Raw genomic sequence first — 21,894 nt, 5'->3', positions numbered from 1 at the left:
TACAGTCTTCTTGTTGTCTGTCAATACTGATGTACATATCCTTTTAGTTCCAGTTCAGACATCATAAGAGATCTTTTAGAAGAAGAGGAAGCCTGGGAAGCATCACATAAGTGAGTTCTCATAATCATGAAATAAGCATGCACTTTGACCTGAGAAATTATACTTCTATGCAGCTGATTTTCAAACAAAATTATATTTTTGCTTTCTGGTTTAAAGAAGTAGTAATCCTCATGCAAGGTAAAGATTTTCAGTTTACTACTTGTTTCTATATATTTCTGCTAAGAAATGGAATCCTATGTAATAACTGTAGTTATGTATCAGATGTTATTTCTGTATGGATAAATTGTTCTTATGGGCAATTAATACAGTCATGCATCACTTAACAATGGGGATACGTCCTGAGAAATGTGATTTCATTGTTGTGGGAACATCAGAGTATACTTACCTAGATGGTATAGCCCACCACACAGCTGGGCTCTAGGGTATAGCATATTGCTGCTAGGCTACAAACCTGTACAGCATTTTACAGTTAGGCATTTGTAACACAATGGTACCTGTTAGTGTATCTAAACCTGGAAAAGGTACAGTAAAAACATGGTATTATAATCTTACGTAATTGCCATAATGCAGCTAGAGCGATCTTTTCAAAATGCAAATCTGATCACTGTTACTCATCCCTCTGCTCTAAAAATCTTGAATGGCTTCTTGTTCCTTTTAGGTTCAAGAAGGGACTCTTTAATATGCGTAAAAGGTCCTAAATGATTGGATCTCTTTCTCCAGACTCATCTCTTATTATTTACTTCATATTCTCTCTGCTTCATCATATAGATGTCTTAGGTCCTCCTGCATGAAAAGCTCTCTCCCACCACAGAGCCTTTGAACTTGTCCCTCTACCCAGAATGTTCTTTATTTTTTCATCTAGTTTACACCCCTACTCAGCAGCTCAAGTTCTTCCTGGATCCAGTCCTCCTACAGTAGGCGCTTACAGCACTGTGTCCATCTCTTTCCAGCACATTTATATGATTATTTGTTTGTCCATCACTCCCACTGGCTTATAAGTTAGGCATTTTAACCCCACTGTCAACATGAGCCTAACTCATAGTAAATACATGTGTGATCTCATTTAAATATAACATTATGATGTTCTATTATCCCTGTTTTACAGTGAGGAAACTGAGGCTCAAAGGGGTAAGTCTCCAGCCCAAGGTCATATAGCAATAAGTAATAAGTGATGGAGATGAGATTCTAACCTAATTGTCAAAAGTCAGCACCCTCAACCATTAAACTCTACTATCTTTCCAAAGGTGGAGAGGCTTGCTGTGCAGTTGACATTTTGTAGTTTCATAGCTGAATCACTGGGAGAGTGGAAAAGTATGGTGTATCCAGGGCACACATGGTTTTATTATGAGATATTTGGTGGTTCAAGCAGTAGCATTTTATGTAAGTTTGAGATTTTGGCTGCATTACTGTCTCTCACCTAAGCATTATTTAACTTTGAGTTCTGGAAGAGGAGGAGACTCCTTAGCTAACTACTTTCCTCTTGTACCTCTTCATACTGAACTAACCCTGACACCAGTGACTATGAGCCCAGAGTTCCTGAGCCCAAGCCTGCTCTTGATAATGATAACTTCTTAAAGTGATTACTACCAGAAAGCACTTAGAAAACAAATCCTATCATTTCAGTTTTTAAAGCGAGAAAGATACAAGAGCTCATCTAGCCCAACCCATTTGTTTTATAGAGAAGGAAGCTCGGCTCCAGAGAGGTAAACTGACCCTTGGTCAAGGTCCGAGGACTAGTTAGTGATACCTCCAGGATCAGAATCCAGGCCTCCTGATTTCAGCAGAATATAGAATAGTTTAAACAGCCGCAGTTCCTTCTAAGGAAGAACTTCTGCTGTGATGTAGTTTTAAAAGCAGAATCAGGAAAAGCCTCCAGAGCTTTACTTTTCAACAAAATGTTGCAGTTCTACAAATACCCATCTTAAGCTTATAGGCATTTTTTTGTAGTACCACAAGTGGCATATTTGAGATGTTAGTCTTAGAACATACCATATCAGTTCCGACACATTCTCTTAATTCCACAAATGATTTAGAGGTTTCGTTAGCAACACATGGCTCCATATAAAGCAGGGTTTTTGTAAGCAGCAGGAAACTTATTTTCTGCAGACTGGTCTTGGGGTCTTCTATCTACATTTTGTATTCTTTTATGAGATGATTAGTCAGTGTGGCCACGAGACACAGGAGAGGCTCAGGAAAACTTGTTTCATTATACTCACAGGTCCTAGAGACAGGGCATGGCACACCGTGCAGGTCCACAAGGGAAAGACGCTAGCGTGGTCAGGAGGCAGAAGACAGGAACAAGGGAAGTGCTTTAGGCTAGAACCCTGATTGGGGTTTTCTCAGGAAAGGCAAGGCAGGGTGGGGTGAACAGTGCAGGACTGGCTAGTTTGAATAATTTCAGTGGCTCCAAGCTATAGGAGTGGTCCCTAGTTACCTAGAACCTGGCCCTGGCATGATTAAGGCAGAGGGCTATTGCCTTTTAGGGTGTTGGGGCCAGATAGAGGAGTTGTGACTCTGGATTGGTTAGTTTGCATGTCACAGGCATACTCCTGGCTGGGCCCGTTGCTGTCTCTGAGAATTGACCAGCCTCTCCTTATGCCAGCAGGGGCAATCTCTCCCCAGCTAGAAAGGCTATATATTATGATGTCAAAGCATCATAATATATAGGAAACACACCCACACAATTTTTACTTAGCCTGTCTGATGGTTCCCTGAAGACTCTACTTGCAAGACTTTTACTTTACTTGACTTGGAGCTTGCTCAATTCAAAAAGCCTTTTCTCTAAGGGTGTTTGTTGAAAGTAATGAGAGGCATTTGACTAGCTTTGCAGCTGTCTGAGGTGGCGGATAACAGTTGGGGCAAATGATACGCCAACCAAAAAGCAACAACAACAAGCTACAAGATATATTTACATTGAACAGAATGAAAATAGAAAATGGTCCTGGTGTTACTTCACATTTTGGGGTCTCAGTTTCTTTACACATAAATGTGAGTAAAATATATATGCTTCAGTGAGTCTAAGCCCTTTGCTCCAGATCTGCGTCTCCTCCAGTGTCCCCTCTTCTCAGTGAATGGTAGGATCATAGTCCTCCCCACTGTTCAAGCCAGAACCTAGCAATTATTTTAAACTTCTCACTCTCCCTTACCACTCACCTGCAGTCACTTGCAAAGTCCTATAAATAAGTGGTTCACAGACTTAAAATCACCTGGAGGACTTGTTAGACTACAGATTAGTGAACTCCACCCCTAGAGATTCTGATTCAGTAGATTTAGGAAGGGGCTTAATGATTGGCATTTTAACAAGCTCCTAGGTATAGCTGGGGCAGCTTCTGTACTGTCTCAATCCCTTTGTGCCACTGCTTACTCCTGCAGGCCCTTTACTTTCCAGCTTGCAGCAACCACTGTCTAGCTGTCTCTCTGCCTTGGTCTGTTACCAGTTCATTTTGCCAGTGAAACGTAACATACAGGTATTTTCCCCCTTAGACTTTAAAGTAGCTCTCCACCATCCAAGGCTTTTCGTGTTCTGGCCCCAGCCTACCTGGCTGGCTCATGGAATTTTATTCCCTCACTTCCCTACCCCACAACTGTGGCTTTGGCCAAGCTGCCAAGCTGCACCACTCACAGTTGCCTCATGAGTTACACCGCCTTGCCTCTGGCCTTTGCACACGCCGCTGCTTCTGTCCAAATTGCCCTTTCCCCTTTATTCATCTAGATAGCAGTTGACATTCCTTTCTTCATACTCTGTTCAGAAGCCCCTGATTTTGCTCCAGCAGCACTCTCACCCTTTCTAGTGAGTAAGTACACTGGATTTTAAATCCCTAGCACCTAGCACTGTGCCTGGGCAGCCCAGCATAGGCACTCAATAAATATGTGAATGAATGAATGTGTCTGTCTGTCAGTCAGTCAGTCAGTGTTTATGGGATCTGAGTGTATTCACTAGTAGATTCTATGTTCTTACTTGGCTTCAAGAACCTGTGAATGAATAAGGATCACCACTGTAAACTAAAAACAAAATTTTAAGCCATCAGCTGACTGAAGAGACTCCCCTATTGGCCAAGGGGACCCATAGAAACCTTAAAAACAGTCCCTGGCCATGACAGCACAGGAGGTCAGACATGCCTCATTATACCTCCTCCCTTTTGCAGTGTAGACATAACAACTGGCCAACATTAATGTTAGAATAGAGATCATAGGACTGACAGAACAGATTTTTTTGTGGCAATAAAATACCAAATTATAGACAAGACCTAAGGCCTTGCCAGGCAAGGGTTAAGTAAATCACCCCACACTTAAAGAGTAATTATGTTCTAATTGCCACAAGGTTTTTCTTTTTCTCTAGCAGCTAAACAAGCACTGGCCTTGAGATAAACAATGTTAAAACAATTGTAGCACATCTATACAACTGCCAGATGCTGACTAACTGACCCACCCTTTTCCACAAGCTATAACTACAGCATTGGTTTGACAAGAGACTGATTTCAATAACTTTCTCCTGATAAGAGACCACTGACCATGGACTGGTTCTGGCTAGTTTTATAGTGGCTGAGCAGTTGGGTGCCTTTATGTCCTAGAAAGACCTTTTGACATGTAAGGCCTAACTGTAATATATTTAAATGTTAAGTCTCCACCCCAGAATGAACATGGGTTGTGTGAAACATGCATGCATGCATTAGGACATGCATTAGGATCCCCCTTTATGAATAATCATAGCTCCTCCTGTAACCTGTTGAATATGTATGTTTGGTCCACACATTCACCCTAAATCCCTTTTCCCTCTTCCCTCCCTTACAGTGCCTGTCTTTTGGGCTCTGCCAGAGTTAACACTTCTCAGCCTTGTCAGAGTGGTCACCTTTCTGGCTGTAATCATTTATAAGAAATAAAGGCTCCTTTCCAAAGTTGTAAATTTGATTTTTAAGCTAACACCACTTAAAAATCTTGCTAACTCTTTGTCTCTATCTCATAGTGCCTTTAAAAGAAAATTTTAGAAAATAACTTTCTCTAATCTTATAAAATCGGAAAAGGAAGAATCATTTTCTCTATTAATAGTCTACATTTCATCTTAAACCCATAAGAAGTTGTTTGCATGCACTTATGAGCCTGTCATGTTTGTTAAATGATACAATTACTGTAATTGAAAGTACTTGCAGCAAGAAAACAGTGAATCCCATCTTTAAAAAAATGAATAAAAGGAAACTCAGGCCTGTTTACAGTGGTCCTTGATCTGACCACTGTCTCTTTAATCAACATGAGGCAAGGAGAGCCACACACCAAGAGATTCTTTCTATGGGCCTACCAAGAAGGAAAGTAGGTCATCCTGGAAATAATGTGTATTGGAAGCAGGCTGATGATGAATGGCCAGATCTCCTAAGGCATGTTTTTGCATTCAGTAGATTCAACACTTTAACAGTAGATAGATGCCTCACTGTGGCCCTCCCCAGGAATATCCTCCCATCTGGCTAACATGCTATTGTCAAATTTTACTAAAAGAAATTCATTAGTAATACCTGCTGGAGACCAAGAATTTAAAAACCTGCTGTACCTGTGAGATCTTATGAAGTGTTATTCCAGTAAGTCAATGTGTTACATGCATGGAAAAAAATGTGGGCTGGGTTATTCTATTAGGATTCTTGCATCTTAGGGGATGAGGTGTTTTAGAGAATTGTTCTGGGAGAACCGCTGAGATCCTTGCCAGGAACTCCCCTGCTAAGGAAGTGGAAGAAGTATAGATGACTTCTTGCACTACCTCAATAGCTGTGTCTGTTGCCAGCTATCATAAAGGCAAATCAAAGAGGGGAAACATGGAAAGAAAAATTACTGAAAATTGTTAAAGGATTATTAAAAACAAGGTATGAGAATAGAGAGTGATAAAATAGAAGTTAAAAGTAAGGAGGAACATCCCACTAAAACTTAAGCCTTAAAAAGAGTCAGAAGTCAAATAAGTAAAGATGATAAAACATTAAGATAAAAAATTTGACATGGTGAAAGTTGAGAGATTTTAAGAACATAAACTAAAACATGAAAAAAAAGTAAAAATGATAAGAGTGATAGCAAAAATGGTGGAAATTCTCTGCTCCATAAAAGCAATAACAAAACTGCAAAAATTGTCAGAATCAACTTTTAGGAAAACTCTGAAAATTAACCAAAAGCAGCAGCAATTTAGGTAGGGGTCATTTATTCAAGAAAAATGTCTGAATCTCAGTGAGAACAGTGAGCTTTGTGGTGATTCGACTGGCTTTGTTCTCATCCTTCTCTCTCCAGTTCCTCTATGGCCTTGGGAGCCAACAGTCTGCAGTCATGGTGAGGACCAGCAGGCTGACAGTCCCCAGAGAAGGCAGAGCGGGGTTGGAGCCCCTTTAAAGCCACATTCCCAGAGAATTTTTACTTAGCCTGTCTAATGGTTCCCTGGAAGACTCTACTTGCAAGACTATCTTTACTTTATTTTTACTTAGCCTGTCTAATGGTTCCCTGGAAGACTCTACTTGCAAGACTATCTTTACTTTACCTGACTTGGAGCTTGCTGAATTCAAAAAGCCTTTTATCTAAGGGTGTTTGTTGAAAGCAATTAGAGGCATTTGACTAGCTTTGCAGCTGTCTGAGGTGGTAGATAACAGTTGGGGTAAATGATATGCTAACCAAAAAGCCTAATGGTAAAAGCTGAAGAATAAGATTTCCATGGGGGTTTTGAACAGCTATAAAATATTCCTGGGAATCTAGAGGGTCACTCTCATTCATAGAGCTTCCGTGCATGCTTAGGAAAGACCTAAGGAAGCGCTAAACTTTCACCTCTGGTTAACCATGAGGCTGTGTGCAAGCAGGAAGTAAAGGCTAAGGCAGAGTTGTCCACTGAGTGTTGAGTGAATGTTGATTGCATGCCCCAGCACAGACACAGAACCCACCAGCAAAGACTGGTTTTGCTGAGTTTCTGTATGATATTGGTTCCAGATGTCTAAGGAACTGTTCAATCATTAGTGGACTACAAAGCTAATCAAGCAGACACTTTTAGTTGCCATATACAACAAAGAATACATATTTATAGGATTGGTTTAGAAAAGTCACTAAACAATAATAGCAAACAGCAACAACAACAAATCCTGGAGAGATCTTGTTTGTTGGTTGTTTATTTTTGGTATTTCTCATGACTGGGGTTCTTTGACCAACTTTGATCTTGATTTGAAGTGTTTCAACGTTTTTAGAAAATCCACAGCCATATATATTTACATATTTATTATCCATAGTTCTTTCTCTCCTTTCTTCCAGGTATTACAGTTATACACATGTTATGCCATTTTTATTGTCCCACAGCTCTTGGCTGCTCTATTCTATGTGCACCCCCTCACATACTCCTTTTTCTCTTTGTATCTTAATCTGGTTTTTATTGACATACCTTCAAGTTCACTAAGTCTTTTTATCAACTTTGTGTATTGCACTTAAAGCCTATTGAAGGAATTTCCATCTCGAAATGGGTTTTTCCCTTGCTTCATTGTGTATCATACTTTTTGAATGCGGGCCATGCAGTGAAGGACCATAGGGACTGAGGTCGATAGTGTTTGTGCCTAGAAATGCACATCCTTCTACTGGGTCATTAGTGTGGGGAGTTGAGCTGGGTAATTCAGAGTTGACCTGGATTGGAGTTTCCTAGTGACTAATGTGACCTTCAGTGCATCCACTTCAAGTTACTCTAGCAGGTGGCTGCTTTGACTTCTGCTTAGTGTTGGGGCTGGATTGCCAGAGGGTTTTTCTCATTGATTTTGCTCCCATTTTCCTTTCAGCCATGCTTGCTTTCCTGCACCAAATAGGGGCATATCTTCACCATGTCTGTGTCTCTCCCTCAGCCATTTCCTGCTCCTGCTTATTGCTTGTTGCTAGGCTGATGGTGGGAAACAGCCGGGGTTCACTGTTATCTCAGTCTAGCCTGAGTCTTAGGTAGGCCCTGTGTGCCTGAGTCTCAGGGGTGGGCCTTTCTCAGCACTTCCACCTCCTCCCATGGTATCTGGCTACTTGACCAAACCTCTGCGTGGTGTCAGTGTAAGGTCATCAGCTGGAGATGATTTACTGCCCCTCCTGTAAGGTAGAGGTTTTAGTTTCTACCATTCCCCCTGCAGCAGTGAATCTTTGCCTGCGTTCCTGCAAATGAGGTCATATGCCTCCCCTTGAGGCAGACTGATTTCACCTCTGTTCCTTCCCCAGAGGCCATAGGTCTTTGCTAGAGCCCCAGGGGGAGTTTCCTGTGTTTCCCTCAGCAACTGAAAAGCTTATGCTTCATGGGAGAGAAGCATTCAGGAGAGCAGGCAGGACTTGACTTCTTCCTGTCCCCCGTAGCCACTGAAGTGGCCCCTCTCCATTCACCTGTCCTGCTCCCAGTCTTTCTTGTGAGCACCTGACGGAGGCTCGTGGAAAAGAGCTGGCAAGTGTGTGCAGACTCTCCTTGTGTCAGGGGCCTGCAATACTAGCCTGTATTTAAGAAATTAGGAAAATCTTAGCTGATTCTTCTTACCTGTTTGTATGGCAGCCACCTCGTTCTCCAACACTCTGCCAAAAGTGAGAGAAGTGTGGCCCATCTTTGGAGGGGCATATTTTTCTTTGGAATTTTACTTTCTTAGTTCCTTTAAAACCTCAGGTCTCTGAAGGATCAAACAGAGTTAAGATTTTGTTAGACTGTCTGGCTTTTTCTTGTTAGGATGGGAGCAGCTTTTTGTTTGCCGTTTTTTCCCAGCCCTCTACATGCTAAACAGAAGCATAAAACTCCTAAATTTTAATTCAGAAAAAGGGGTTCAGAGCTCATTTACTATCTGTGATCTTTGCTAACTCACTAATTCATAAAGTGGAAATACTAATAATAACAATTATGAATTCATCAACAGAATAGAGGATTATTTCGAGGTTTTAATGAAATAATATGTGTGAAAACACTTGTAAACTAGAAACTGCTGTACAATAATCATTACTTTCCAAGATGTCATTTCCTTTTTCTGTCTTCAGAAACGATCTTCAAGACACAGAAATAAGTCCAAGACAGAATCGCCGCACAAGAGCCGCTGAAAGTGCTGAGATTGAACCAAGAAACAAGCGTAATAGGAATTAATGTGGGCTTTTGCTGACTTTTCAAATGCATTGATTAGAATACCGTACTTTTGGTTGCCACAGATAGATTTTCTATTTATAAATGCCCAAGGAAAGATGCTAAATTCTAAATATTACGGTTAGCTGATATTCATTCTTTTCTGCTTTTCCAGAGGGGAAAAATGTTACAAAATATCCTTACTTGGTCAGTTGCCTCCTGCCTCTAAAACATCTCTCTCTAAAAATACTGACATTTCACACAGGTACCAGCTTTGCAGAGGAGGTAGACTCTTTGGCACTTTGGCACAGGGATTTGGTTTGGTTTGGTTTGGTTTGATAATTAAATTTCAGAATGTCCTTAGGCCATTCTCCTTCTCTTCCATGGAGAATCCAGCCTCACAAAAGGATTCTTTCAACTTCTTTATTGCAAGAAACAGTTGAGTTAAATGTTTGTTTTTGGAAAGGCGGGATGTCAGTTCACATCCTTGGTGTGTGTAAGTACCGATGCACGCCACCACCATGCCTGTGTTACAGCAGCTCCATGATGGTTGTTGCCCGAGGTTAATGTAGTTGTTTGTTAGACCTGTGTCTTACACATTTCTCAGAGTAGGATATTAGTATTATAATTTAAAGCTACGACAGTCACAAAGTCACAATAACTTAGAAACATTGCGCATATTCTTCTGAAATAGCACTTAAAAATGATTAGTGTCAGTATTTTTTCACTTGGGTCAATCAAATCTGTAACACTGAATCCAAGCTATTAAACAAAAAGTATGCAATGAATGAATTTTGTAAATGAATAGAGAGTATCAGTTTACAATAATGTTCTTAAAACAGTATCCTCTGGATAGTTGAGTATGGGTTAGAAATCATTGAAATGGATTGGTCAGAAATTGCTATCTGTGTAAAATGTCTACCAGTAGCCAGATGCTTCCAGAGTTCTTAATGCCTCTCTGGCATTTCAGAGCCAGCATCCCCCAACTCCCACCCCTCTGCCATCACCCAACCCAAACACATCAGCTTTCAAATGAGATGATAGTAAATGCGGCAATGTTAAGACAAGAAATTTATGATTTGCCAGATTCAACATTTATGACCTCCCCTTCCAAAGACTGTCTCCGTTGACCTTGTCTTTTTGGTATGCCTTGGGGTTTCTGATAATGTGTGGAGTCTCATTATGGCTGAGAGTTTAGTGTTTTCACAGTGAAGTGCAGACATTTGATTTCTTTATGAGTTCCCTGTGTTAGAAATGGCTATAGAAAAATTTGTCATAATAATTTCATTTGCATGAAATCCTGAGGGGTGCATTAAGGAAACTAAAAGCACCACTTACCAAATCTATCGGCAGAACTGATGTGAGGTAAGTGAGCATGTCAAACAAAATAGGAGCTCACATGGATATATTTATGTCACTGAGTTGTCAGAAATTATGTCAAAATGAAAACTGTTTGTTTCATGACAAATTATATAGTCTATAAATTAAACTGGAAGTAATTATTACTTTAATTGCAGCAAAAGGAGTTTGTGAGGGAGCGGTGAGACCCAAGATTGGGAAAGTAGGCACATGAGTTCATTCAGCAAATATTTGGTTATCTATGTCTGTCACTGTGCTGACACTGGGAATACAAAGGTGGCCAAAGATCATCTAGAACAATGGTTCCCAGTGGGGTGGGCAGAAAGATTTTGCCCCCCAGGAGACAGCTGGCAATGTGTGGAGACACTTTTGGAGGTGGAGGGTGGTGAGGGGTACTACCAGTATCAATGGGTGGAGGCCAGGGATGAGGCTAAACACCCAACCCTCATGGATTAGTTTGCCAGGGCTGCCGTCACAAGATACTGCAGACGGGGAAGCTTACACAACAGAAATGTGTATTCTCAGAATTCTGGAGGCTGGAAGTCCAAGATCAGTAGGGTTTCTTCTTCGGCCTCTCTCCTTGGCTTCCACTCATGGTGTCCTTGCATGGTCTTTTCTCTGTGTGCACATGACTGTGCAGGACTGGTGTCCCGATTTCTTGTAGGGACAGCAGTCATTGGATCAGGGCCCATGCGTATGGCCTCATTTTACTTCAGTTACCTCTTTTTTAGATAGAGGGCCCTATCTCTAAATACTGTCACATTCTGAGATACCGGCAGTTAAGACTTCCAACATATTTAGTGGTAGGGGTTAAGGGGCACGCTTTAGACTACAACACTCCACAGTAAAGAATTATCCAGTCTAACATGTCAGTTGTGCCAAGACTGAGAAACCTGTAATGTAAAGGAACTCCCAAGTCTACCTGAAAAGTAAGGTCTAAAGAGCATTTATTGAGCACTATCTGTTAGCACTTAGCATATGTTTAATATTCATACATTGAAAGAAATGTATGTTCATATCCATCTGACAAAGATTAAGGAACTTAGAGTAAGTAATAGATCCAAAATTGAAACTGATAAACTTCTGGTTCTAAAATTCACCTTTTAGTGAAAATACAGTTTCTCACCAAACTTACAGTAATTCAGAGTTATTAACTCTTTCTACCTCCTCACTCCCCTCAAAGTTATAACATCTCCCATCAACATCAGCTCAGAATGGCAGTGATGCTTATGGTTTGTGGGGGTGCAGGTGAGCTGCTGGATGCACTTTAGATGGCCTAGTATGCCAGGCCGTCCTTTCATCCTCTACTCTCGTCTTTCTTTTTCGACCTCATGTTGAGGATTACTGGTCTAGTTGAAAAAAGAATTCATACACATAAGACCATGTATATAATAGAGGGAGGTATGCCTTTAAAAACAAAATTACATGGTAAAGACTGATGTGTCAACAGGGATAGACAACATAGAGAAGGCTAGAACTGTTTCTGGAAAAAAACCCAAAAACAATGGATTTCAAACTTCTTAGCATCCGATAAAAGAAAGTAGCAATTATTCAAATGAGAAACACTTCTGTCTGTTATGTACATATTATGAAAGTATGAACATAAGAGGGAAAACCACAACCATTACATTTTTTACCATTTCAGTAATTTTTTTTTGGTTTTTAGTCTGTTTTTAGACATCCTTAAGAACAACTATCTGAGGCTGTAAACAAGTATTTACATTAACACCCATGATACTGACTTTATACTCCCTACCTGCATTGAGACCTTAAAGGGGGCATTTCTCCATTCCTTCTGTGTATTTCTGGGTATCCCCAGGTTCAGATATTCAGAATACAGATACAAGTCCATGCTTGCATATGTTGCTGCTCCCCCCGACAGACTTCTACCAGCATCTGCCCTCCTCACCGCTGCTCTGTCACGTGCACTGCGGCTGGCCCTGCTGGAAAGTCCTACCTTGCCTAGGACGCCATCCCCGATATAGCCCCAAGATGCAAACCTGCCAAGTGCTAGGGCAGCCCTGCCTTCCTGTCCATTTCAGTCTCTTGGCCTTGCTGTGTTCCAAGTGGAAATGGGAGTGTGCTTTCCTGGTTTGCTAGTGTACTATCACCCGGACCACAGCGTCCTGTGCAAAAATTTGCTTCCTCTCTCTTCCCCTTTCACTCTTTCTCTTTTCTCTTCCCCACCCCCTTTTTTTTCTCTTTCCCCTTACCTTTCTTTCCTTTCCACTCTTCCTGTCCTTCCTTCCTTCAACTATTAGGACTATATGTCAAGTAATGTGCAAAACAAAGACAGTTCCTGCCCTGATGGAGCTTGTAGATCAGAAGGGAAGATGAGCATTAAGTAATTATATAGATTAATGTACAACTGTGATGAGTGCAACAAAAGAGAGGTTCATGGCACTATCAAACATGCAATGGACGGATTTTGTTTTTGCCTATAAACTCTTGCCATAGAAAGCTTGAAAATCAGTCCAGGGGGACAGCATTAATCACCATGTTCTTTCCTTATCCCTGTCTTCCCCAAAATTCATGTGTTGAAACTTAACAAGAGGTGGGAACTTTAGGATGTGATTAAGTCGTGAGGGCACAGCTCTTATAGATGGGGTCACGGTCCTTCTAAAAGGGCTTGAGGGAGTGGTTTTGTTTCCTTCCATCCCTTCCGCCACATGAGGACACAGTCTTCGTTCCCTCTGGAGGACTCAGCAACAACACACCATCTTGGAAGCAGAGAGCAGTCCTCACCAGACACGGAATCTGCCAGTGCCTTGATCTTGGACTTACCAGCCTCCATACCTGTGAGAAATAAATTTCTATTGTCTATAAGTTACCCAGACTGTGGTATTTTCTTCTGGCAGCACAAATGGACACCCAGAAACTGATGCATGCATCTTCTGACTCCTTTGATTCCAAAATACAAAATATTAGAATAAAGTTATGGAAGTCAGCTTATGCTAGTAAGTGCCTGTGTGTCTGCCAACTTCCCAATAGTATCAAGAGAAGCTGGACAAGTCAGAATTTCATATCACCTATCCAGGATCACCTCCATAAACACACAAACACACACACACACACTCACACACACACACATACACATACACACACACAGTGCTTTCATTTGTCACAGAAAGATTCCACAGTGCATTAACAATACTATTTAATGATTGTATAACAATCCATCTGGATCGTGTGCCATTTTGCACAGACATTCTACGCTTGGACACTTACGTTACTTCCAGCTTTTTCCAATTACAAATAATTTAGAAGGCATCATGGTGCATATAGTTTTTTCCATATATATGATTACTTCCTTAGATTACATTCTCGGAAATGGAATTATTGGGACCTTAGCTTTTAATAAAATATATGGCCAGGTTTTCAAAACGGGACACCAAAGTATTCTAAAGGAATTTTTTTCTCTGGGTCTTAATGGGTTTTAAGAATCACATTGGAGTTCATCAGTGTCAATGTCACAGCAAATGCAAGGCTTTCATTTCTGTTAACTATCAAAGCTGAGAGTCCAAAATTGAAAGGGACTAAAACAAAACAATTCTATGGAGTTACAAGCAAACAAAGACCAACAATACTTTTCATGTTCTAATGTAATAGAAAGTTAGATAGGTTCTAATTATCCCTAGTTTCAAATTAGAGATATACAATAGGTTGCGTATCCTTAATTTGAAAATCTGAAATTGGAAATACTCTGAAATTGGAAACTTTTTGAGTGCTGATATGACACTCAAACCCTCACTGGAGCATTTTGGATTTCAGATTTTTTGGATTAGGGATGCTTAACTGGTAAGTATGATGCAAATATTCCAAAATGCAAAATCTGAAACACTTCTGGTCCCAAGCATTTTAGATAAGGGATACTCAACTTGTATTTAAGATCTCTGAGGAGAATGGCTAAGAAATACTTTTATAGTGTTTCACACCCAGTCTTTGGATAGCAGCTGGATACATTTTCTGGCAAGATTCTAGAGCTGCTCTTACTCTAGTGCTTTCCAAAGAAGCCAGCTGGCTTGGTGTCAAATGAATAGACAGCAAGGCTGACATGCTATTGTAAATGTCTTTTCTTGAATGGGGTTCAGGTAGGCAGCAAGCAGGGAGTTTTTTTTGGTCCCCATAATATAACTTTGGAATTACAAGCACACAATTGAAACCCCAGGATTCCACATGATGTTTATTTCCATTTGGGTCACATAAGAACTGCATCACAGTCTTAAAAGAATTGTATCATATCTTTTATGTAATAGCTGATTTTGAGCAGCCCTGACTCTCATGCCTAATAAGTCTTCACTGCAAAATGCACTTTCTAGGGAACATTATTGAATGAGCTATTTTAATATAACTATTTGAATTTTAAAGAGTATCTACTGAAAACATTTTGGCAACATAAATATTGAATTTCTGAAAGCATGACATCTACATAGAATCATTTGTTTTCTATTTGCAATACGTGGTATTGTGTTACTTAGGTTAAAAACCTAAAGAAGGGGGTGGGGCTAAGAGAACCTATGGTGGCACAATGTAAGGCCCAAATCTGATTGTCAAGAGACTGACCTTACCCACTTTGTCACAGTTTTGTAGAAATACAGGCTTCATGGAAGCATATTTGTCTAAATGTATTTGGGGACCATTGCTGATTTCTATCCAGAAAGGGAAAATAGTTGAACAAATGCTAAAAGTCATAACCTGGTCAGGGGCTGGTTTTTGTTTTTTTTCTAGCAAAGTAAAAGAATATCGTAGTGATGAACTGTGGGATAGTTCTGTTTTAAACCAGCTAAGCTCGTCCTTCATGCAAGATATAGTCAGAGATCCAGACTTCTGTTTGTTAAGTTGTGATGGGCAAAAGTACTTACTAAAGGGTGCTCTTTAGTAAGAATGGAATGGAACCCAGAAGAAAGGGGTGGTATACAAAAAGCAGTGGTGAGCAAATATGTTGGTAAACACACTGGCAAGTTTTAAGTAAATATAGATTTAGGGGTGGAGAGTGGAGAGTGGTTAAAACAAGGTGGAAATAAAATAGTAGATAATCATGTGGGACATGGGAGATCAGAATATCAAGGCATTCTGAAGCTCTTGGTATTAGTATTGTTTGGGAGGCATCGACCTACTTTGAACTCTTAAGAATCCATTTTAAGGTTTTAAAGGCAACTCTTAGTGAACACCTGTTTCCAGAAAATGGGTTTCAGGAAAACTTGGTAAAGCCACGGAGGCAGAAAAGATTAGAAAAACAAGGAAAAGCACAGTGAATAGAAAATATGAAATAAGATGGTCCAATAACCCCAACTATATCAATAATCACTATCCCTATAAATGATTACACTGAACTCTTAAGAGTAGCTAGTATTAATTAAGTGTGTAGTACATGCCAGGGCTAAGGGCTTAGCCAGTGTTAACTCAGTCATTGCAACAACCCTGTTTTACAGATAAGGAAACCAGGACAAAGGTTAAGACATGTTCCCACAATAATATGTGACAGTTTCTTAGGTTGGATTTTTAGGAAACAATCTAGCTTTATGCAGTTTACAAGAAACAATCATACAGAAAGCAAAAAGGTAGGAAAAGATACCAGACAAAGCTAATTAAGTGTAGCAATGGTTGTAAGAAATTCACCATGTGTATATTTTTTTCATTTTGCTCTGGATTCGTGGAAACTTGTTATGAGAAATTGGGACTTGGATTAGCTTTTAAGAAGAGATGCAGTTTGCATTTTAGCAGAAGGGAGTACAGAGAATGCCGGAGATATAAAATGACGGTCAGGGTGAGGTGAGGAACAGTCATTGCTGGAGGGCACTAAGGGCTGCCCATATAGGAATGTGGTGTGCTGCCACCTTCCCCTTCTCTTTCCTATTTTCCTCTTGGTGTGCTCCTTTCACCAAATGCCGTCCTTCAACTGAAGGAGCCAAAGCTCCTCTAATATGCCTTTCTCTCGCCCCATTTTCACCAAAATCTCCACTCCGTAACAATGTAATTACGTGGATATTCATTTAATGAATACTGTGTTAGAATGTAATAATAAAGAATCTACAAGAAGGAAGCATTCCCTGTCCAGAGAGCTGCCTCTCTGACTAATCCAGTTCTAGGAGTGGGTCACTTTCCCTCCCCCTGGCCCTTGCTTCCTCATGTTGATATAAAATAGGGCATTTGAACTAGACTCTAGACTACCAAGAGCTGGAGGGAACCTCATCTATCATCTAGCTCAATCCCCTCATTTAACAAGTTGGAAAACAGATTCAGTGGGCGCCTAAGACATAGGGTGTCTTCTGGCTATAATGTTTCAATCTAAGGCTCAGGTGGAAGTTCTGGCCAAGACTCTCCTGCGTCGGGTGGAGGGAGTAGTGGCCCTCTCCGTGTGCTCTGCCCACAAATAAGACCTGCACTTAGAGGGTGGCACAGAAGGCAGCAGGGGAAACCCACTGCTCCAGCTGAGCGGACAGGAAAGCAGCACTTGGATGTTTCTATGTGGTGTCTTTGAATACTCCTGAGACTAGAGATCCAGGGAAATCAAGGCCCAGCCGTCTGCTAGCTCTGGTGACTCTGCTCACTCCCTGGGTTGAGGGTCCAGGAACCTAGCGGCAGCCTCACGGAAGACAGGACTGTGCCCTCTCTTGCTTCTAAGGAGAGTCCATCCAGGCCTTGGGTTTCAGACAGGAAGTGTTGAGGGCAACTGACCAGCTTCAAACTCCTCAAGCCCTCTTAGGTGAAAAAGGATAATCCTTGTAAGGGGTGAGAAAGAGGGGTTTGTATCTCCAGGCCTCTCTATCCAATGGATTCTTTAACCATTCACCACCGACCCCTTCCAAACCCAGGCCACCTGATTGTCCATCACTTTTTTTTTAAGAGGCGGTATCTCACTATGTTGCCCAGGCTGCAGAGCAGTGGCGATTGACAGGTGCCATCACAGTGTACTGCAGTCTCGAACTCCTGGGCTCTAGTGATCCTCCTGCCTCAGCCTCCTAAGTAGCTAGGACTGCAGGCAGGGGCCACCATGTGCAGCTCTTTGATCACCTCTAACAGATTCTTTCCCCATCACACCTCTGCACTGGCCCCCAGTCATGCTCTTGCCCTCTTGTACCACCACTGAATCCCTGCCTCAGGTTTCCCGCTCTGACCTCCTATTCATAGCTGTCCCCACACCAACAATTCTTTGACCCCCCTAGTGACCTTCATTCCTGTAACCTTGCTACTTTTCACTGTTCATCATCCCGGGCTCCACATACATGTCCTTACATCCATATTATCCAGTTCAGATTCCATGGTCCCTCACAACCATTCCCTTGCCTCTCCCCTCCACCACTTTTGCCTGGTGCTCTTGGTTTTCCTGCCACCTGTCTAGTTACCCTTGCTCAGTCTCCTCTGCTCAAACCTCATTCTCTGTTTGACTTCTAGCCATGAATGAGAAGTGCCCCAGAGACTAGTCTCTGGCTGTCTTCTCTAGCTATGTCTTCTCCCTAGTTGGTATCATCTGGTCACGTGGCTTTAAATTCTATCTCTAGGCTAATGATTCTCAAAAGCATTCCTCTCTGTCTTTGACCTCTCACTTTCCTGTAAAGCCTGCTTCCCACTTCCTAGTCATTCATTCTCCCTAATGCTTTACTGCTCTGCAAAATAATTGTCTACATTCCTCATCTTCCCCTCCACTCTTCTATGAAAATGAGTATTTTTTTAAAAAAGTATTCCTCTCCCCTGAGTTTCAGACTGATTTACCTGACATGTCCACTTGGCTTAGAGGCACCCCAACCTAACATGTCCAAAGGAGAACTCCTGAGCTCCTTCCCTACCCCAAGCCTGCTTTTCCCAAATCTTCCTATTTCAGTCCATCACACCCTCATTCACATAGTTGCTCAGGCCAAAAACTAAGTAATGAGTTGTTGAACAAACATTTGGGGTTTAATTAGGAAGTAACTATTTTTATCTCCTCATAGCCCTTCAAAATGTATTCAGAGGGTTGTCTACCCCAGGATGGAAATTCCTGTGGTCCCATGACTTTTGTGATCACTCTTAGGTAATAATAAACAACAACAACAACAACAAAAACCTATAGTCCAAAGTTAAAATACCTGGTCTCATGTAGTGATAAAAGTCTGACCTTGATTTATAGTTACGTCTTCTCCCTACCCTAGCCGGAGCTTGCTGTAATCTGGCTTCTTGCAGTGGATGTGGCTGGCCAGTGGTCAGGGGCTTGTGCACTTCTCTCCCTACCCTACCCTACGTCATGCTTTCACCTACCCTCCAGCATCTGGCAGTTGGTTCAGGGAGTGGAGAGAGAGAGGAGAAGCAGGGGAGCAGGGAAGCTCTTTTCTGAAAGGTACTATCATAAGATGGCTCACCCACTGGGCCCAGCAGGTAGTTAAAGTTGGCTCTCATGGTTCCAGCCCCACTGAGCAAGGTCTGCCACAGAGCTTATAACTCACGCGGGAATTTTCCTCCAAGTGGCAGCTCTTTTCTTCAATCTGTGGTTTTCTCTGGTCAATTCTACACAGACTCTGAGGATCCCACTGCTTCTCCGGCCAGTCTTCCTGATGATTTACAATGACCTTACTGTTTTCCACAGAAGCTGTACTATTTACATTCCCATCAACAGTGCACAAGGGTTCCAATTTCTTCACATCCTCACCAACACTTGTTATTTTCTGGGTTTTATTTATTTATGTATTTATTTATTTATTTATTTAATAGTGGCCATTCTAATAGTGTGAGGTGATACCTCATTGTGGTTTTGATTTGCATTTCTCTAATGATTAGCAATATTAAGCATCTTTTAATATGCTTGTTGGCCATTTGTATATCTTCTTTGGAGAAATATCTCCTCAAGTCCTTTGCCCATTTTTTAATCGGGTTTTCTTTTCATGTTGTTTTAGAACTCATCTTTGATCTCTTGTCTTTACCCAATACATCCTACCATCACCAGGATTCTTCTTGGTGCACCCTTCAGAATGTATCGTCTATCTCTCCACTCCTTAGGCCCTCCACCGCTACCATGTTTATTTCAGCCACCATCATCTTTCAGTGATGCTGCTGTTCTAGCTTGCTAATTGGTTTCTCTCATAATCCACATTTATCCCGCCATAGCTGATTCTTCCCCAACAGCCATCTTTTAGAAATGTAGATCAGGCCGAGCGCGGTGGCTCACGCCTGTAGTCCCAGCACTTTGGGAGGCCGAGGCGGGTGGCTCACAAGGTCAGAAGATCGAGACCATCCTGGCTAACACGGTGAAACCCCGTCTATACTAAAAAATACAAAAAATTAGCCAGGCGTGGTGGCGGGCCCCCTTAGTCCCAGCTACTCGGGAGGCTGAGGCGGGAGAATGGCGTGAACCCGGGAGGCGGAGCTTGCAGTGAGCCAAGATCGCGCCACTGCACTCCAGCCTGGGCGACAGAGCGAGACTCCGTCTCAAAAAAGAAAAGAAAAGAAAAGAAAAGAAATGTAGATCAAATATTATTCTCCTCCTTCAAGTCCTCCAATGACCACCCAATGTATTTCAACTCAACCAAATTTCTTACTATGATGTAAATGTCCTGGATGGCCCGGGCTTCATCCACCTCGCTGGCCTGTGCCCTTCCACTCTTTTGCTGTTTTCTGGGCTACAGCCACACAGCCCTTCTTACGGTTGCTAAACATGCTAGGCTTGCTCCTGTTTCAGGGCTTCACTCTCATGCTTCCTCGGTGTGGAATCGTCTTCTCTGGGATCCTCCCACGGCTGGCTGCTTCTCATCATTTGAGAGCTGCACAAATGTCACCTTCTCATTAAAGCCTTCCTGGACCTCTCTTTCTAAAAGACCTCCTCGCTCCTCCACATCAGTATCTGTTCCAGACTCTGTTTTCTTTTCTTCATAATATGCACTGTCCAGAGTTATTTATTTGCCTGCTTGTTTGTTGCTTTTCTTTCCCTACTGGAATGTAAGCCCTGTGGCAGGAGGGACTCTGCCATGTTTGCTACTGTCTGCCAGGCCTAGAATAGTGTCTGGTACACAGTAGGCATTCAAAAACTATTTGTGAAAAGAAAAAACCAAAAGACTAATGGTTGACTGAATGTCTTCTCTCCCTGGAATGTGATGTCTGTGAGATCAGGGACCTTGCTTGGGTGGTGTTCACCTCTGCATTCCAGTGCTCTGAACAACATCTGAGCGTATTAGGTGAGCAGCAAATCAGTGTGGAATGAATCATCTCTGAGCAAAGAGATCTGATCAAGTGAGTCAGGGACCCATTGAAGCAATCTCTTCCTTTCTTCAGTTTCTGCTCTTCTCAGCTGTCCCTGAAATGCTTGGCTCAACCGGATGAAACTAACACCAACTGTTTTATTTATGTGAACTACTCACTTTTTTCTCCAATTCCTATGACTCAATGTATGCATGTGTCTTCACTGAAGTGTACAATAATCTTTATTTTAGGCTTATTGGACACAACACTAAATGCTTTGTCTGGATGAAATTTGTTACTTTTCTAGTGTGGACATGCTCTCCCAACTAACAAATTGTTACAGGGACCATCAATAAGGACCTAAACTATGGGAATAATTTTCTGTTTTCATTTAATACTTATCTTTTGTCTTATTTCTTAGGGCCTAAACTTAATTTTGCTTTGGACCTTTGCTTTGAACCTCTGTGTCAGATGCACAACATCTTTAAATCTTCATTTGAAGATGACTAAGAGACTCAGTAATTAAAAGCTATCACTCCATCTTCCTGTGTACCTTCAAGGGTTTTATTAATAGCTTTCCTTTCTGTTGAACAGATTATCCTGCATCTCTGTGTCTTATTGAAATGCTCAGCACTCACATCCCTTTTCTCGGGAGTTTTTACAACAAGAAGAGCAGAGGTTTTTGTTACGGATACAAAGCTCTGCTTTTGTGAGCATGTTGATTCATTCTCATCAGGGAACAGATGAGGGGTTGTGTGAAGGATTGGGGCAAATTGTTATCACGAAAAAAAAAAGAAGCCTGAAATATTGTTTTACCTTTCTTGACCTAAAGTTCAAGATGTCATAAAATCAACCTTAAAGCTTACCTAGTCCAATGTTATTATTATATAGATGAGGACACTTAGTTCAGGGAGGAAAAGGGGTTCTCCCAAGGCCACACAATTGAAACACAAAAGTCAGAGTCAAACTGAATTCCATCTGGATTTGTGAAGGGCTGATTACCAAAGTACAGTTAAAACTGTTAATGGCTCACCGTGGGATCTTGAGTGAGTCCTCTCACCTTTCCATTTATGTTTTTAAATCTGTAAAATGGGCCTATCTGGAGAAAAGTCCAGATGCGTATTATAGTTATCACCAGATTATTTTTATTAGGTGTTCAATTGCATTTTGGCTGTTTTACAGCAACTGCAATAATATCATCATAATACCTTTACTTTGTTTATTTACATTATAAAATATTTTATTTTTAAGCAGTATATTATCATGGTTTA

General features: G+C 41.4%; 1 protein-coding gene across 2 annotated transcripts in view, besides 1 other annotated feature; it reads left to right on the top strand.

Annotated features, from left to right (window-relative positions):
• RAD18 (RAD18 E3 ubiquitin protein ligase) overlaps positions 1-13,424 on the top strand; it is an 86,398-nt gene extending 72,974 nt beyond the window's left edge. For both annotated transcript variants that reach the window (NM_020165.4, XM_017006873.2), the window contains 2 exons: positions 48-110; positions 9,040-13,424. In NM_020165.4, the coding sequence (NP_064550.3) occupies positions 48-110; positions 9,040-9,142 (166 nt within the window). In that variant the 3' untranslated portion in view covers positions 9,143-13,424. The remainder of the gene's footprint in view (positions 1-47; positions 111-9,039) is intronic.
• Positions 19,950-21,149: an enhancer, noted in NCBI's record as "P300/CBP strongly-dependent group 1 enhancer chr3:8911034-8912233 (GRCh37/hg19 assembly coordinates)". NCBI's record gives its function as "activates an origin of replication core promoter dependent on BRD2, BRD4, P300/CBP, MED14 and CDK7 cofactors, with strong dependence on P300/CBP, by STARR-seq in HCT116 cells {active_cell/tissue: HCT116}" and the evidence as "EXISTENCE:reporter gene assay evidence [ECO:0000049][PMID:35650434]".

This window comes from Homo sapiens, chromosome 3, assembly GCF_000001405.40.
Source record: "Homo sapiens chromosome 3, GRCh38.p14 Primary Assembly".
Lineage (NCBI taxonomy): Eukaryota > Metazoa > Chordata > Mammalia > Primates > Hominidae > Homo > Homo sapiens.
The sequence above is the reverse complement of the archived record's forward strand: the minus strand, read 5'-3'. Positions and strand labels throughout refer to the sequence as shown.